Genomic DNA, 17,294 nt, shown 5'->3' on the forward strand with positions numbered 1-17,294 from the left:
CCCTCATAGCTGGAACTACAGGGACTCACCACCACTCCTGGCTAACTTTTAATCTTTTTGTAGAGATGGGGTTTTTCTACATTGCCCAGGCTGGTCTCAAACTCCTGGGCTCAAGTGATCCTCCTGACTCAGCCTCCCAAAATCCTGGAATTGCAGGCGTGAGCCGCTGTGCTCTGCTAGGTGTGAACAATTTTTAAAAGGAGTACTACTAAAGGAAAAGGTATTAATATATATGTAAAGAATCTTATTCCTGGCCTCCATTTTTGCATGATCCTACAGTGCTAGAGAGAGTACAAATATTTTCCATACTAAAAGAGTAAAGTGGTCAATGTAAATTGTCCATCTAGTAATGAGTAATAGAGTATTCCAGTGATTTAAGGAAAAAACCAAATTCTTGGTTATATTTTTACCTTCACCCCCTTTTAAACAATGTCTTTTATGTGGTATGGACTTAAGTCTCTTTCCCCCAGGAGTCCTCAGTCCTTTCGTTTTTCCTCCATCAGCATTCAGAGAATTCCCACTTGAGTCGCAGGGAACAATCACGTCAGCTAGGGAATGTAGAAATGTAAAACAACAATTTAGGAGGCGAAAGGGAGTATCAAGTTAGCGAAACTGCAAGGGAAACTGGGGGCAGCAGAGCGACGTGCCAGCGTCCGTGTTGGGCGGGTGTCGGGGGGACCCGGACACCCCGCCCTCCTTCCTGCAGAGCTCTGCGGGCCCTGTGGCATCCATGGAGACCCTGGCTCCGGTTTCACAGGAAGGGAAGGTGTGTGTCACAGTCCCTAATGGATCAGCTACCAATCATTAGCCAAGTCCTTCTCTTACTTTTCTCCTCGGAGAGAACCAAGCTTAGACAATAGCATGGCTTTCGAGGTGGGAAGGACCTCATGAAGGAGACGGAAAAGAGTGACTGCAGATCTTACATGTAGGATCTGGCGGAGCTCAGCTTAAAGCCGTTGCCACCCAGCCATGGGCATTTTCTCCACATTTTGCAGGCATCCTACAACTGAAAACTGGGTCGCAGGCATTTGAATTGGCCCAGAGGACCCCTGCACCGCCTAAGCCCTCCTGGCTTTGTCATGGTTTTCAGAATTAGAGGGGAAGCATGCATAAGAAAGCAGAGGGCGTGGGCAGGAGCTGGGGCTGCCTCCTTCCCAAACACTGACGGCTCCTGTTGACACAGACTTGAAAATTCTGAGCGCTCATGGACATATTAGCATACTACAAATATCTAAAGGGGCTGTGAAATATCACTGAGAAGGTCTGTACATTGATTTTCTATATCTTTCATTGCAAATTAGAAGCAAAGGGAAAAAACTTTGGCCACTCCAAAGACCAACTCCAATACCGTTTCTGAGGCCTTAGAAAATAAATTTAACCCTTCCGGCCCCTCACTCGTTATTTTCACTGTTATAATGGGAATAATGGCAGCATGTTTTGTGATTCATATAGAAAAATATATGCTAATTGCTCTAAATCTTTAAATATATTCACAAATAACATATTCCTTATAGCTAAAGGTCTAATAAAATTTGCATTACTCTGTTCTCCTTGTAGAAGTGTTGCTTATTAATTGCAGTACATTGAGAAAACATCAACAAGCATACAGAAAAAATGAAAATCACATGTAATTCTTCAATCCAGAGTTAAGCATTGTAAATACATTGTTTATCCCCCTTAAAGTATTAAAGTGAATTTGATGTTAGATAGTACTGGTTATTTTTCATTATTTTATTTTATTTTTAATTTGACATTTATTTTGAGTTCAGGGGTTCATGTGCACGTTTGTTATATAGGTAAGCTTGTGTCATGGGGGCTTGTACAGATTATTTTATTATCCAGGTATTAAGCCTAGTACCCTTTTGTTATTTTTCCTGATCCTCTCCTTCCTCCCAACCTCTACCCTTTTTATTATTTTAAATTCATGGCATTTACAGTTGCCTTAGAACTTTCCATGTGCCAGGCAGTGTTCTAAGTACTTTTCATAGAGTAAGTCATGTCATACTCACTACAACCCTATGAGGTAAGCACTGCTGTTACCATGGCATGAATAAACTGAGGCACAGAAACTGTAAGTAGCTCATCCAAGATTACTAAGCCAGTGGGTAAAGAGGAGAGATTCAAAACCAGGCATTCTGGAACCAGAATATGTGCTAGGAATCATTAGGCTAGTAACCATTTGGCTTCATTTCTTGGAAGAGGAGGTGGTAAGTTTCTCTTGTATAAATGTTTTTATTAAAGGGAAATTGCAAATTTGATAATGAGTGTCTATCAACATTTAGATGTTCTCATTGGGCAGGCACTGTACTGAATATTTCACATACACACAATATGGTGCATAAAATACGTGGTTCGGTAAGTATTGATTGAGCTGCATTCAAGTTAAATTAAACCTCTCACCCAGGAAAGACCCACAACACACTGAAAGGTCTTCCTCGTGTACAACCAATTCTCCTTTCTGCAGGCCCAATGTATGCTTTTTGTGCTCTATTTTGTCTTGCCTGATAGTTTTATCTTCCATTAACTCTCTCTCCTCTGAATTCTTAGCATATACTACAGACACTGCTTCACTCACAATTTAAAATTTACTTTTTATTTTATTTAAGTGTATGCACATAGTTTAAAAGGGAAGTAAATCTAAACTTTCATAGCAGCATCCCTCAGGGCCCCATTTGTCACTGTAATATTCTGCACAGTCTGTGAAAACGGCATCCCCTTCAGAATCATGAATCGAACATGGTCATGTCCCTTCATCTCTTTTCATCTAGAATGGTTCTTCTCAGGCCACTGATTTGTGGAAGAGAGCAGGTCAGCAGTCCTGTAGAATGTTCCAGGTCAGTGTTGCTTACCTTGTTCCTTTGTCCCCCGTATATCCTACAGACTGTAACACCTATAAACTGAAATTGACTTAACTAAAAGCTTGACTAGATTCAAGTTCACCATCTTAGGAAAAAATAAACTATACATTGTAATTTTATTCTTTTGCAAGTGACTTATTTTTAAGTCTCTTTACATTAATAATTGTATAAAATGTCCCTTATAAAATTGCATGTGGCCTCAAAACACCATCATATTTATCCTTTTTATAATCTATGCTGCGTAGCAGATGTGAATATTGTCCTCAGCATTATTTATTAAATCAATGAATGGATGATGGATGGACAAAGAATAGTGAGATGATTGATTTTTTTTAGGGAAAATAGTGTAATTGGTGCATCTAAGCACTCTTTCCTCCCAATATTAGATTATAACCAGCAGTATAATTTGCTTTCAGCTCATTTGAAATGGCATTTAAGAGAATCAGTGATTTGCAAGGTGTCTGCAGAATCTATTAGCCTATCCCTGGGCCATGTTATAGATTAATACTTATCAACTATTGAAAACTTACCATGTCTTTGGATATTTACAGATAAGCTTTCACATGCCCTTTGGAGAGTCACATCCTATTCTGAGAACCCCCATTGTCTGAGCCAGCCCATGGGGAGCACAGGCTTCAGGTTCTAAGCTCGGTGGTCTGGGAAGTCCCGGGAAGAGAAGAACTGAGCCACGGTCCCAGGAAGAGAAAAACAGATAGTGGCCAGGCTCCATGTGTGCCCGCCCTGCTCTCCTCATCTCCCATGGATCCATGTTCCTGATCCTCACAGCTCTAGTCGTATTCTCCACTTTCTGCAGATGGGATTTAAACCCAGGTCTTCTGGGTCCAGCGTTCCTGCTCTTAATCATCCAGGCCTAAGGACACGGGTTGAAAGTCATTCACTGCTGCCTCTGGAGGTTGAGTTGTTTTAAAGTGCTGCGATCTACTAAGTCTTCAGAAATTAGTTGATCCAACCGTAATCTTCTGAGCACATGAGCTTTCTTTTCTTGAAGACTCATTACACTTTCCTTCAGCTTGTTCTCGGCAGGATGAGTGACTGCCCGTCCTGGAGGCCTCCTCAGAAGCCTCATACCTGGCTCTCCGATGGAGCCCACGGTTCTTCTGTACTTCCTCCCTATGGTTCCTGGGCCTGGAGTGTGGGCTGGACAGGGCAAGGCCTGGATTGTGTTCATTAAACAAGAAGATAAGCTCATGGTTACCACAGGGATGTTCTGTTTGTGCCCCTGCTAGGGTTTTGCTTGGCTTTGGAAGCCTTTCATGTGCCCCGAATGCTATAAACCCTTGCAATAAATGTGAAGTGTATATAGTTTCTGCTACTTATGGGAGGCATTGAGGGAGTTAAGCACAGTGGCTTTTGTGTCTGCAGATTTGAGCTGAAATTCCAGTTCTGCAGCATAGGGCTTAACAGGTTCACTCCCCTTCCCCATCCTCTCATCCCCCAGGGCTTTACTCTCTCTTCCTTCCACCTGGATAGATGCCCTTCTCATCTTCACACAGCAGAACACTGCTTGTTCTGAGAGCTCGCCCTGCTGATTCTTCTTCCATGAGTCAGAAAGCCCACTTCACTTATAGGATGAGAACATGGATTTAAAATCAGACAAATCTGGGTTCATACCGTCCTTTTGCTAGCTAGACAATGATTGGAGTTTGTCAGTTTCCTTGAGAAAAAAAGGGATAATGATATTCCTACCTTTTAAGGTAATGGCAGACATTAGGAAAATATAAACATAAAATTATTAGTAGAGATTTGATGAGTAGCCAGTGCTCAGTAATAACTAGGCAATTCTTGATTGTGTCTGAATGAGTTTGTGAGTGCATATGAGAGTGTGTGTATGTGAGTGTTATGCGTGCTCACACATGTGTCTGGTAAAGGGCAGATATTCATATAGCTGCTCAGGTTGGTGGAAATAATTTCTTTTTACTTTTATTCTATTGTTCCTCCCAGGACTGAGTTTCTGGCCTGTCTCACTTTTGACGTCTAATATTGCGTTGGTTAAGAGTGCCTTCTCTCTCCCCCACTCTACAGATATTCAGAAGTAACTGTGAAGTAATTGTGGATGGGATCCATGTCTACTTGGTATGTTTGTCTCCTGAGCATCTGTTGCCAGTGTAATTTCATGACAATCATCAATATGTATTGAATAAAACAATGGATATGTGAGTGGCTGCAGTATCCCCAAGTCATTTTGAACTGTGATTTTTACATGCCAGGGCCATCATCAGAAAATATTTATGTGTTACTTACCTAAGTCAGCACAATGCAGGCCAGTGAATGCTCAAAGAAACTGGAAATTCAGGTCCTGCCCTCTAGCTCACCTCTTAAGGGGTTGGCCTGCCCAAACTCTGTTATCACTGGAAAGATTAATCAGTCAGGATGCAGCTCCCTTACGAAGGTTGATGGAAGAGCAGAGCCTTGTGAACCCAACACCATCTAACAAACAGAATCTGCTGTTGATTTCACTATGCTCCACTGATGATCTTTCCTAAGAACCATCCTCTAGTCAGTTACAGATGCAATGGGTGGTAACAGCTCCCAGCTGCGTGGGGCCAGATCACACCCCAATGGCTAAGGAGAAGGTTTCAAAGCTTTCTTTCACCTCTGCCCAGTGGCTTGTCCATCAGTACCAGGACTTTAAATTCATCAGTCGTAATGAAATCACATTTTTTAAAATAACACAGAATGAGTTTCTTAGAAAATTAAACTGAATTAGTGCCAGGTTTTTGTATTTTGTCCTTGTTTACTGAGCATAGCATTAAATATACAAGCTGATCTCTCAAGCTAATCTTCCTCTTTATCCACAGAAACAGAAAGTAGATTAGCAGTTGCCAGGGACAGAGATAGGGAGGGACTGCTAATGGGTTCAGGGCTTCTTTTGGGGTATTAACATATTCTAAAGCATTCTAAAACTGTTCCTGTGCCCTATATTTACTGAAATATACTGAGAACCACTGACTTGTATGCTTTAAAAGGGTGAATGTTATGGTCTGAATTATATCGCAATATCATTTTTACTTAAAAATAACAATCATGGAACCATGTTTCCATTTCCTGGTTCCCTGTTTCCTCCTCCCCTAGGAGGTGTAAGTCTGAGGAAGGATGTACACTGGATGTGAAAGCCACAGCTGTGGTGACCAGGGACTGGGACCAGGAGTAATAATTTTTTACTTTCTTTCTTTCTTTTTTCTTTTTTTAGATGGAGTTTCGCTCTTGTTGCCCAGGCTGGAGTGCAATTGTGCAATCTTGGCTCACCGCAACCTCCGCCTCCGGGGTTCAAGCTATTCCTCTGCCTCAGCCTCCCAAGTAGCTGGGATCACAGGCATGCACCACCTCGCCTGGCTAATTTTTTTTTTTTTTTTTAAGTAGAGATGATATTTCTCCATGTTGGTCAGGCTGGTCTTGAACTCCCGACCTCAGGTGATCGCTCACCTCAGCCTCCCAAAGTGCTAGGATTATAAGCGTGAGCCACTGCTCCGAGCCAGGAATGATGCTTTCTAAACAATTCCACGTGCACGGCAACAGCAGGAAGTGCCCGTTTGTGACATTTCCCTGGGCCAGATAAAGAAAGCATCTGCTTGTGTTGTGTTGTGCCTGTCTCCATTAGAAGGTGTAGCCATAGGACAAAGTACAGGATGTTTGTCATTTCAATCTCAAGCACACCTTGAAACTTGAGATGAAAGTTTGTTGAAAACAGACAACTTACTCATTAAAGCCAGGAAACGCCTTTTTCTCCCAGAGTCACATGCTCTGTCTTGGAGAGTTGGCCTAAAATTACTTAGTGACACTGGCTACTTTTGTTTAAATGCTAAAAATTGTTTACTGAAGATTCACTTGAAGGGTCAAGGGATTAGCAAGACAAATATAGTTAGAAAAATACCTACTCTGTGCTTTTGGATGCAGGGTGCTTTCTGAGAAGTCCCAGAAAGGAAAATTCTATTCTCAGAGGCCAGTGAACTTTAGGAGAAATCAGGCTAGTCACTGGGGCTTCTCTCCCTCGTTTCTATGAAAGATGCAGTCATGGTCCTGAAATAATGCACCCTGTTTCCTTGAGAAACTTTTGCAGAATGAGCATAAAGGTAGATCCAGCATCCCCTTGGGTCTGTTTATGGGAAAAATCCTGTTTTTCTGGCTTCCTCCAGTGTCCATGTCTAGCTCAGTACTGTGGGACATGGGAGAAAAGCTGAGGATGAGGATCCCTCCCTGAAGGTGTTTACAATCTTAGAAGGGAGATAACATTGAGTTGAAGATCAGAAGAACTCAAAACAATAGGTGGATTTAACAATTATTTTTTCTTTTGCATACCTACCTGTAGCCCCTGTGTAGGGCACACATGTCCTGGCTGTTCCAGCCCTTGGAGGGTGCACGGAGAAGTGGGGCAGGAATCACAAAATGAAACAACTCCATGTTCTGTGAGCCTGGGCGTAGCAGAATTAAACATGATGATCTGAGTCACGAGGAGGGAGGACGTGGGGATGCCCAGGTAGGATGAGTATAGCACCTGAAAGAATAAAAGGTAGACTGACTTCAAATTATGCTACTAGGCTACAATAACCCAAACAGCATGTTACTTGTACCAAAACAGATATATAGACCAATGGAACAGAACAGAGGCATCGGAAATAATGCCACACATCTACAACCATCTCATCTTGGACAAACCTGACAAAAACAAGCAATGCAGAAAGGATTCCCTATTTAATAAATGGTGTTGGGAGAACTGGCTAGCCATATGCAGAAAACGGAAACTGGACCCCTTCCTTACACCTTATACAAAAATTAACTCAGGATGGATTAAAGACTTAAGCATAAGACCTAAAACCATAAAAACCCTAGAAGAAAACCTAGGCAATACCATTCAGGACATAGGCATGGGCAAAGACTTCATGACTAAAACACCAAAAGCAATGGCAACAAAAGCCAAAATTGACCAATGAGATCCAAGTAAACTAAAGAGCTTCTGCAGAGCAAAAGAAACTATCATCAGGGTGAACAGGCAACCTACAGAATGGTAGAAAATTTTTGCCATCTTTCCCTCTGACAAAGGGCTAATATCCAGAATCTACAAGGAACTTAAACAAATTTACAAGAAAAAAACAAACAACCCCATCAAAAAGTGGACAAAGGATATGAACAGACACTTCTCAAAAGAAGACATTTATGTGGCCAACAAACGTGAAAAAAAGCTCATCATCACTGGTCATTAGAGAAATGCAAATCAAAACCACAATGAGACACCATCTCTAACCTCCAACCTTGTTAAAATGGCAATCATTAAAAAGTCAGGAAACGACAGTTGCTGGAGAGGATGTGGAGAAATAGGAATGCTTTTACACTGTTGGTGGGAGTGTAAATTAGTTCAACCATTGTGGAAGACAATGTGACAATTCCTCAAGGATCTAGAACCAGAAATACCATTTGACCCAGCAATCCCATTACTGGGTATATAGCCAAAGGATTATAAGTCATTCTACTATGAAGATACATGCACACGTATGTTTATTGTACCACTATTCACAATAGTAAGGACTTGAAACCAACCCAAATGCCCATCAATGATAGACTGGATAAAGAAAATGTGGCACATATATACCATGGAATACTATGCAGCCATAAAAAAAGGATGAGTTCATGTCCTTTGCAGGGGCACGGATGAAACTAGAAACTATCATTCTCAGCAAACGAACACAGGAGCAGAAAACCAAACACTGCATGATCTCACTCATAAGTGGGAGTTGAACAATGAGAACACATGGACACAGGGAGGGAAACATCACACACGGGGGCCTGTTGCGGGGTGGGGGGGCTAGGGGAGGGATAGCATTAGAAATACCTAATGTAGATGACGGGTTGATGGGTGCAACAAACCACCGTGGCACATGTATACCCATGTAACAAACCTGCATGTTCTGCACACATATCCCAGAACTTAAAATATAATAAAAAAAGAATAAAAGGTAGAATTTATGGGCTTCAGTACGTCCCCCTTAAAAGATAAGTTCTTACTCTCAGTGAATGTGGCCTTATCTGAAAACAGGGGCTTTGAAGTGATCAAGTTAACATGAGGTCATTAAGTTTTATCCCCTAAACCAATATGACTGGTGTCTTTATGGAAAGAGGAAATCTGGACACAGACACACGCACAGGGAGGACGCCATGTGAAGGTGACGGCAGAGACCGGAATGGTCCTTGCACACACCAAAGACCACCAAAGGTTGCCGGCAAACCACCAGAAGGTGGAAGAGAGGCTGGGAACAGAGTCCCTCTCACAGCCTCAGAAGGAATCAACACTGCTGACCCCTCGATCTCAGACTTCCAGCCTCCAGAATTGCTAGACAACACTTTTCTGTTGTTTAAGCCCCTAGGTCTATGCTACTGTGATGTGGAATCCTAGCAAACTGATACAGGGAGGCTTGGATTCTGTCCAGGGAAGACGTCCAGAAGGATGAGAGGGGCTTCCTTGACTTCTCCACTTACAGAGCCTTCTCCACTTACAGAGGGGCTTCCTTGACCCCAAGCATGGGAAGTGCAGGTGCATGAGGGGCCAGACAGGCTTTGTGAATGTCACTGGCTCAGCAGAGCTCAGACAGAGGAGAGCAGCAGCTAGGTCCGGAAGGATGGCCAGAAGTGACAGCACATTCTGAGTCGAATGGGTCTGGGAGGCAATGGGGGGCCTGCGTCGGTTTGTAAGCAGGGACTAGAGAAAGTGAAGGGGAAAGCTGGATATTTCATCCGGCAAGGATGGAGAACCCTCTGCAAGCTCTTAGAGCAGCCACGAATGTGGAGGGCAGGTGTGGGGACTTGTAATGTCCAAGAATGTGGCGGGCAGGTGTGGGGCAGGTGTGAGTGCTGTAAGCCCAGGAAACAAGCCGTTCCACATCAATGCTGCTTGTGTAATAATCCAAGTGATTTTATCTGGACCTCCCCACTCCCACTCCCAGCTCGAGGCACCTGGCCTGCCCCTGGGCCCTCACAGTGCCCTGCCACGGGCTTGGGGACGCAGCTGTGTCTGTTCTTTCTGCCAGCCATGGGAGTGTCGGGTGGGAGAAGGACCCTGCTGCCACTTGACCCTTACAAAGTCCAGTGTGGCCTGGTGTGCAGGTCCCAGGCTCTGGGACTCACTGTTCCCTGTTAGCCAGGGTCTGGCTGGAGGTGATCCAGCCCAGGTGTGACTGGGAATCTGTGGCATCTGCCCTGGAAGTGTCCTTTGTCATGACGGCCTGCACCCCTAGCAGTCCTGGGTGGCTCCATCACTGTGCTGCTGGCGTGGCTTTTCCTCAGGAAGAACAACTGGATGCATGTCGATGCAGTGACATGTATCAGACGCGGCAGTAGCCCTTATCTAGATGTTCCTTTCATTGCAGTCACTTGGCCCAGTTGTAAATACACCCCCAAAACTGCCAACACCAGTTTGTAGGTGAACAAGAGAGGGCAGATGAGGAAACTGAGCACTCAGTACCTAAAAGGAGCATTCACCAAGTTCCTCAGTGCTCCCACCAAGCGACTGGGAAAGGAAGTGCCCGGGAGCCCGTTGGACTGAAAACCTAGAGGTGTTTGTCTTACGGCAGTGGATTCTTCTCCTCCTTTCTGTTTAGTGTTAGTTTTTTTTTAAACCGTTTGTTTGTTTTTTTTTTGTTTGTTTGTTTGTTTTTTGCTTTTCCGTGTGCAAGTCTTAGAGTATTTTGTAACTGGGGTGAATATTTTAGATATTGATGCTGGGAAAAGACAGGCGGTTGTCCTCGGAAATTGGAACAGCTGAAATATTATTATCAAGTCAATGTGCTCCCTTCCTGGGTGTGGCGATAGTCACAGTGGGCCCTCCACTTTCTTCATGAAAATCCAGGCCTATGACTCAGGAGGTAGGAGACTCTCTGGAGAGAGGAACTACACTAAATCAGGGTTCTCCGAGGGCTTCCCTGCGACAACTAGAGTGCTCATTTTCTTCAAAGATTTTAGGGCAAAATGTAGACTGCTTAGCATGGATCCTTTGAATTTCTGGCATGGTCACGTGTGCCTGTGTGTGTGTGTGTGTGTGTGTGTGTGTGTTTAACAAGGCTACTTAAAAAGCTATCTTTCTTACTCTACATGATCGCCTTGTCTCTGTGGTGAACTTCTAGGAAATGTAAATTTGCTTTTCTTTTTTTTTTTTCCTTTTGTGCATGAGAAAGTGGCAACTTTGCAAAAACAAGCCAGGCATCTGTTCACTTTTTGTAGAAACGGAGAAACAATATTGTGATTTTTTTTTTTTAAAAAGAGAGAAACTCCTAGCTCCTATAACAATTTTTGTTGAAGAAATATTCATGTTAGAATGACTAGCCATTATTACGCACTAATAAGGTATAACTGTGTGGTGCTAGACATTAAAAATATAAGAGTTTTCCCTAAAAGGAACATTTATTTCCAGGAGCAGGAAAACAGCAGCAGGGTTTTATGGTCCCACCGCTCATGCACAGTGTACAGTAAGTGCTACAGAAACATTAGCGTATAAGTGCCCATTAGCCTCGCACAGAAGAATCCAGGGCCCATTACTCAGACTTCTAAAGGCTCAATATTGGATCACTGTTATCAAACTAAGATTAGCTAAAAATTTACCTGGTACTTCCTTAGAAATGACCTCATCAATTTAATACAAATTTGGCAGATGGGGTATTTTGTTATCCTGATGGCCAATTTTGACTTTTACAGGAAAATGCAGTCTTTGAAATCTTGTCTTAAATATGGGCATGCCATTTTTTTTTTTGCCTTCTTTAGATACTTTGGGGGTTTGAAGATTTACTCAAGCTAATGACCCACTTTTACTCACAGCATGCATTTGCATTACACAATTAGGCAACATTCACCAAACATTCATCAAACAATATGGAATCTGGACTTTTAGCAAGAGGGGAAAGCAACATCTGGATAAAATTATCAGCTGGATTTAGGGATGAAAACTCGGCTCATTGCTTTCTCAGTTTTACATTATAAAACCAGCCAGGCCCCTAAAGTGAACTGCTCAGGATAATCGTAAGCAGGGGCTTATTATTGCAGAGGCCACTGTACTTTAGAATTTGCTTGAGGATCCATTTATAAATAAATGCCACCTCAAGAGTCCTTTCTCATTGTGCTTTGCAACCATAATTAGACAAGCCGTTTCTGCAGTGGCCTCTAGTAATTCACTTGTAAAGAAATTTTTCTCAAATTTTTATACTTACTGAATTCTGTACATTTTATTTCAAAATAAATATATTCATTCATTCATTGTTTTCATCAATCTTTCAGTCTGCAAATGTCCACAAAAGGCTTGTAAGCAGCATGAAATAGTAGACAGACACAGAAACTAATTAATTTCACCACAGTGTGGATAAAGCTGCAACCGAGGTGGATGCAAAGCAGCTGGGAGAGATTTGATTAGCCCGGGAGGGCAGGAGCAACCCAAGAAGGCTTCCAGGGAAGGCTGTGATTAAACCGAATATTAAAGGTTGAGAATGAATGTATTCAGGTCGTCGCTGAAAAAAGGAGAGCTATTCTTAATTGACGAGCATGTTTGGAGAAGTCAATAAGCTGAGATAAAGGAGACAGCACGCTGTTGCAGAAGAATGGTGGTTGATGCTGTCAAACAAATGTACGTTCTGCCGCAAGGTGCTGCTTAGTCTGGCCGAGTGAGCCTGGTCTTCTTATCTGTCAAATGGGAGTAATATCCCCAGTTCACAGGGCGTGGCCGAGGAGGAAATGGAAGTGAGTATAGAAGGGCCTGTTTAGTGCCACATGCAATTATCAAAGGGTAGCAATTGACTTTCTGTGGGACATACCATATAAATCTATAGTCTTGCTTTTATTTTCTTTCCGTTCATTTCTCTGATCTTCCTAATACTTCTTTTAACTTTGAAAAAAAAAAAGTTAACGTCTAAACCTCACCTGATACACTGACTACGCACTTGGATGCCTTTGGGGATGAAAAAAAATGAGTAGGGGTGAGGAAGGTAAATATTACAATCACATTAGAGGGAACGGCCATTTGTCAGTGGCGAGGCTCCACCTTTCCCTTAAAACATGCAGCTTTCACTCTCCTTGAATGGAGCGTGCTGAATGTTATTGCTAGCTACCTTTCAAATATGCACTATTATCACATTTTAAAACATTTTTGACACTGAGGTGTTCTTGAGTAATATTCCAACATAATCTAGTATTCAATATTTAAGGACAAATATTAAGAATTTGTGTTAAATTTTTAAAAACTCAGAAAATCTGTCTTTAAGAGCATATTACATCAGAGTAAAGGATCAATTATGAGTGTTCAGAGCCGATGATAAATCACATGGAATGGCTCACAAATTTATTATTTTTTAAAATCTTTTTTTATGAGAGAATCTCACTCTGTTGCCCAGGCTGGAGTGCAGTGGTGCAATCTTGGCTCACTGCAACCTCTGCCTCCCGGATTCAAGTGATTCTCATGCCTCAGCCTCCTGAGTGACGGGATTACAGGTGTGCACCACCACACCCAGCTAATTTTTGTATTTTTAGTAGAGACAGGGTTTTGCTATGTTGGCCACGCTGGTCTTGAAATCCTGGTCTCAAGTGACCCACTTGCCTTGGCCTCCCAAAGTGCTGGGATTGCATGTGTAAGCCACCGCGCCGAGCCCTGTGGTTCACAAATGTAAATATGAAATATGAAGAATGTTTTTGGCTGTATTCTTTTAAATGCATATCTCTTAGTCTATAGTATCTTCTCCCATGGAAGTTCTCTCTAAGCCTCATGCCCTCACAGCAGGGCTCAGAGGCCTTGGCAGTTGAAAATCTTTCTGCTGGTAGCAAGCGTCCAACCCTTATTTTGGAATATGGCTCCTTAAGCAAGTGTAACTTTCCCCTCCAAGGAGCACATGCTGGAGCACGATACGGGGGCTGGTACAAATCAGCATTTGTAAACTGACTTTCAGAGTCCTCCATGTGCCAGAGAATCCTTTCTAGGTCTCAGCACCAAGGCGTGGTGGCTGCTACTGGTGACCTTGTCACTTGATTCTCTTCAACAGTGGCGCAGGTGCTTCTCCTTTAGGTTAAGTGTTGAGTTGTGACTTTGTATTCTTGCCTCCCGACTTCTCTCCCACTCCTGTCACCTCAATGCCTAGATGTGATAAATACATGTTAGGTTCATTAATTAATGCAAAACTAATGAATGCCTAAGACTTGCAATGTACAGTGCATAAAGAGAGTTACCCAGTTGGTGTCTTAGCAGCTAAGGTGATTCAGGGACAGGACTTTGCAATATGTATTATTAAGGGGCGTCCAACATCTCCCTGATGTTGCCTTAAAAGACTTCAGAGGTAGTTTAGCCAGTTTCAAAACCTCATGCTACAGTTTCACAAGCATGTAAATGTATTTCTATTCATTAGAAATAAGGGTAGGAGATTGGATCAAATAGCAAGTTTGAACACATGATTTTATGGTACTATGGAGAGTTTGACTTTTCTTAAATTATCACTATTATCAAAGGAAATGTTCGCAGAACTCCACATCCAGGGAGCAGGACTCTATCTCCTGTGCAGACTGGTGGCTGGTCCTCACAGCTGCTGGCCATCTCCCAGGAGTCCCCGGATGGCTCTCACTTCTGTGTCCATGGTAACCTTGCAAAAACATCCCTAATTCTGCCCACCTGTAGAGCTGGCCACCTATCTCCCCATTGTCAACAGATCATTTCGGGTGTGTCACAGTACTTGGAAACCATAAGGTGCAATTTCTATCCACCTATTTTCCCAAAGATGGAAAACTTTTTTTCCCTTTGGGCTTCTTTTGCTCTTGCAGTGGAAACAGCATCTCTCTTCCCGGCTGGGGCTAATTCTTCTATCTGGGTCCAAGCTCCACCCTTCCTGGCACCTTTCTGGATTCACTTTTATCTTCCTTTTCTATAATCTTCAGCCTTTCCCTGCATACTGGTTCCTTCCTGCCATTAAGCACATATCTCAAGTGTCAGCAAACATGAAAGAAAAAAACTCAAACCTCAAAGTCCCCAAAACACATTCCCTTCTAGTCACCACATTCTCTCTCGTCAGCTTCTCAGACATGTTTACACACTCTGCTCTTTCTTCCTCACCTGACGTCTCACTTCTATCCCCGCCCTGAGACACTCTTGCCAAAGTGTTGGAGCTTTCTCTGCGTGTCCAAATCCAAAGGGTACTTTAAAATCCTTATTGTTCTTGGCTGCTGTGAACATTTGGCCGGTGTTTCCACTCTTCCTTTTGACTATGGCCTGCTTATCTAGGGCCTTCTTCTCAGGTCACTTTATTGCTTTTTTGTTTTCTGCTCAGTCTTTAAATGAAGATCTCCTTACCCATTCTGCCTCTGGCTTTTCTTCTCCCTCCGCAATCCCACTTTACTCATAACACGCTTCCCCACAATGTCTTCCCAGCCCGGACCTCTCTTCCTGGGTTCCCTGTGCATGGTTCTACTTGCCCGCTCACCTTCTGCTCTCAAAGGCATCCCCAAACTCAACACAGCCCAATTTGAGCTCATTAGCAACTTCTCTGTCCCCTGAAAAATGTGCCTTTTCTTTATTATCCTCCTTCTCCATAAATGGCACCACTCCTCCCCCGGTGCCCAAGGCAGGGATGAGACCCAGGTGTCATGAAGACAGCCATGGAAGCAAGCTCACCACTCCTATCTCACTGCCCCCCGCAGGAGATGACCACTGCTGGGAGCCGAGTAGCTGCCCTCAGCTGCTGCCAGGCCTCAGTGTGCTGTGGGCTCACGCTCAGACCATCCCCTCCCTGGTTGCTCCCTCCCTGGTTGCTCCCAGCAATGTCCATGCCCCGTAGGATTCCTCTAATGGGCTTCTTTTTGCTCCAGGACACCCTGCAGCCTGGCCAAGACTGGCTGAGAAATGCTGCTGTTGGAAGCTCTCCAACCCAGCCTCCTTCCATCCTCTGCTTCCGCAGGCAGCAGAGCCTCTGGCATGTGTGAAGGCTCTCCTCCCGGCTCCCACTCCTGCTCTCCTTTATTTCTTGACATCTCTGTGCCACCCTCTTGTTCAGGTTGCAGGCAGATCCTCTCTCCAGACCCTTGAGACCGCCTCTTGCTTTGCTGCCTACCTTTCCTGTGCTGTACAGTGACCTTCCAAATGCAAACCTGACCAAGCCGTGCTCCAGCTTCAGACCCTTAAAAACTCCCCACGACCCTCAGTCCAAACTCCTTCATTAGATTTATGGGAGCCTTCAGGCCTTTGCTGTGTGGCTCCCATTCAGCTTCTTGGCTTTGTCTCTGTAGGCCAGGCTTGCTGCCACATGGTGAACTTGTTTTAGTTGCTCAGAAGCTGAGGATAGGTATTTGCCATTCTCTTTGTCTACAGACTGGCTAGCATCTACTGCAAACTTGTCCCTCGAGTCTTACCTTATTTGTCCATTTCTCCAAAATGCTTCCATCCATGCCACGCGCCCTGCCTGCATTCCACTGGGCTTGATGCTCTTGTTTGAGCTTTCTGTAGAACACTGCACTTGATTTTATGTCTTTTCACTTTTCAGGTTGAATTACATCACTTACTCAATTGTCCATCTCCTTTAACAAAATAAGGACAGAGAGGCACTGGCCCGATGCTTCCCTTGCTCATCAATGTATTTTGTGCAGCTCACACAAACCTGGCTCCATGGATATGTGTTATGTAAATGAAGAAATGAGGGAAAAAATAAATGTCTGCTTAAATACATGGATAAGTGATTAAAAGACTTATTTCTCTAGAGAACCACGAAGGAAGGCAGATGAAGCTGTAAGGACATGGAGAAGCAAAATGCTGCAAATCTATTTTTTGGTGGAGTAGATGATTATGTGGCCAAGTATACTTCAGGCTTAAGAGTAGACAAAGAAACAAAAATATTTCTCTTTCCAGTTTTATGTCTCCCAACCCCTAAAACACAGAACCTTTCACTCAGAGAGACTCTCATTAATTGAGCTGTGACTTGAAAGTATACATTATCACTGAGATAGCTATAACATGCATACATTTTTTTAATTTCTCAGGAGTAAACGATCCCAATTGCAGTTTATCTGTGGTTCATCTGGCTTCTTCTCACACCACCTCTGTTGACATGGGAGGCCTGCCGGCCACACATCCAGGAAGTATGAAATCAGCGGGGTTCCTCCCCTTCTTGCTCCAGGGAAGCCTGAGAGGGACTCTGCAGATTGCATTTGGAATCCATCTGCCAGGTAATGCTCTCTAGTCTTTGCCAAGCAGGAGCTGCAAGGTGGGGAACCTTGCTAGACAGAGCTCCTCGTTTCAGTCTGGCTTGTCACTTACAGTAAATCAGTTGAAGGCGGAGCATAAATACAGGCTTTCTTTCCCAGATCCCAACACTGCCCGGTTGCACAAGCCAAAACAAGATGAGGGATTTTTCTCCTTCCTCTCTGACAGGGCAAAACTCCTTTGGAGGTTAGACTCTTGGTATGTGCACACACCCAAAG

At 43.5% G+C, this 17,294-nt stretch overlaps 1 long non-coding RNA gene across 1 annotated transcript, besides 2 other annotated features; it reads left to right on the forward strand.

Moving 5' to 3' along the window:
* Positions 490–1,445: an enhancer, noted in NCBI's record as "OCT4-NANOG-H3K27ac hESC enhancer chr2:5865940-5866895 (GRCh37/hg19 assembly coordinates)". NCBI's record gives its function as "activates a minimal SCP1, AML or CMV promoter by ChIP-STARR-seq in primed H9 embryonic stem cells {active_cell/tissue: H9 hESC(primed)}" and the evidence as "EXISTENCE:reporter gene assay evidence [ECO:0000049][PMID:30033119]".
* LOC112268411 (uncharacterized) lies at positions 1,151–5,036 on the forward strand. Its single transcript, XR_002959368.2, has 3 exons — positions 1,151–1,261; positions 2,769–2,834; positions 3,410–5,036. It is a non-coding gene; the product is annotated as an uncharacterized LOC112268411 (long non-coding RNA).
* Positions 15,579–16,079: an enhancer, noted in NCBI's record as "H3K4me1 hESC enhancer chr2:5881029-5881529 (GRCh37/hg19 assembly coordinates)". NCBI's record gives its function as "activates a minimal SCP1, AML or CMV promoter by ChIP-STARR-seq in naive H9 embryonic stem cells {active_cell/tissue: H9 hESC(naive)}" and the evidence as "EXISTENCE:reporter gene assay evidence [ECO:0000049][PMID:30033119]".

Source organism: Homo sapiens, chromosome 2, assembly GCF_000001405.40.
Source record: "Homo sapiens chromosome 2, GRCh38.p14 Primary Assembly".
In the NCBI taxonomy this organism is placed as follows: Eukaryota; Metazoa; Chordata; class Mammalia; order Primates; family Hominidae; genus Homo; species Homo sapiens.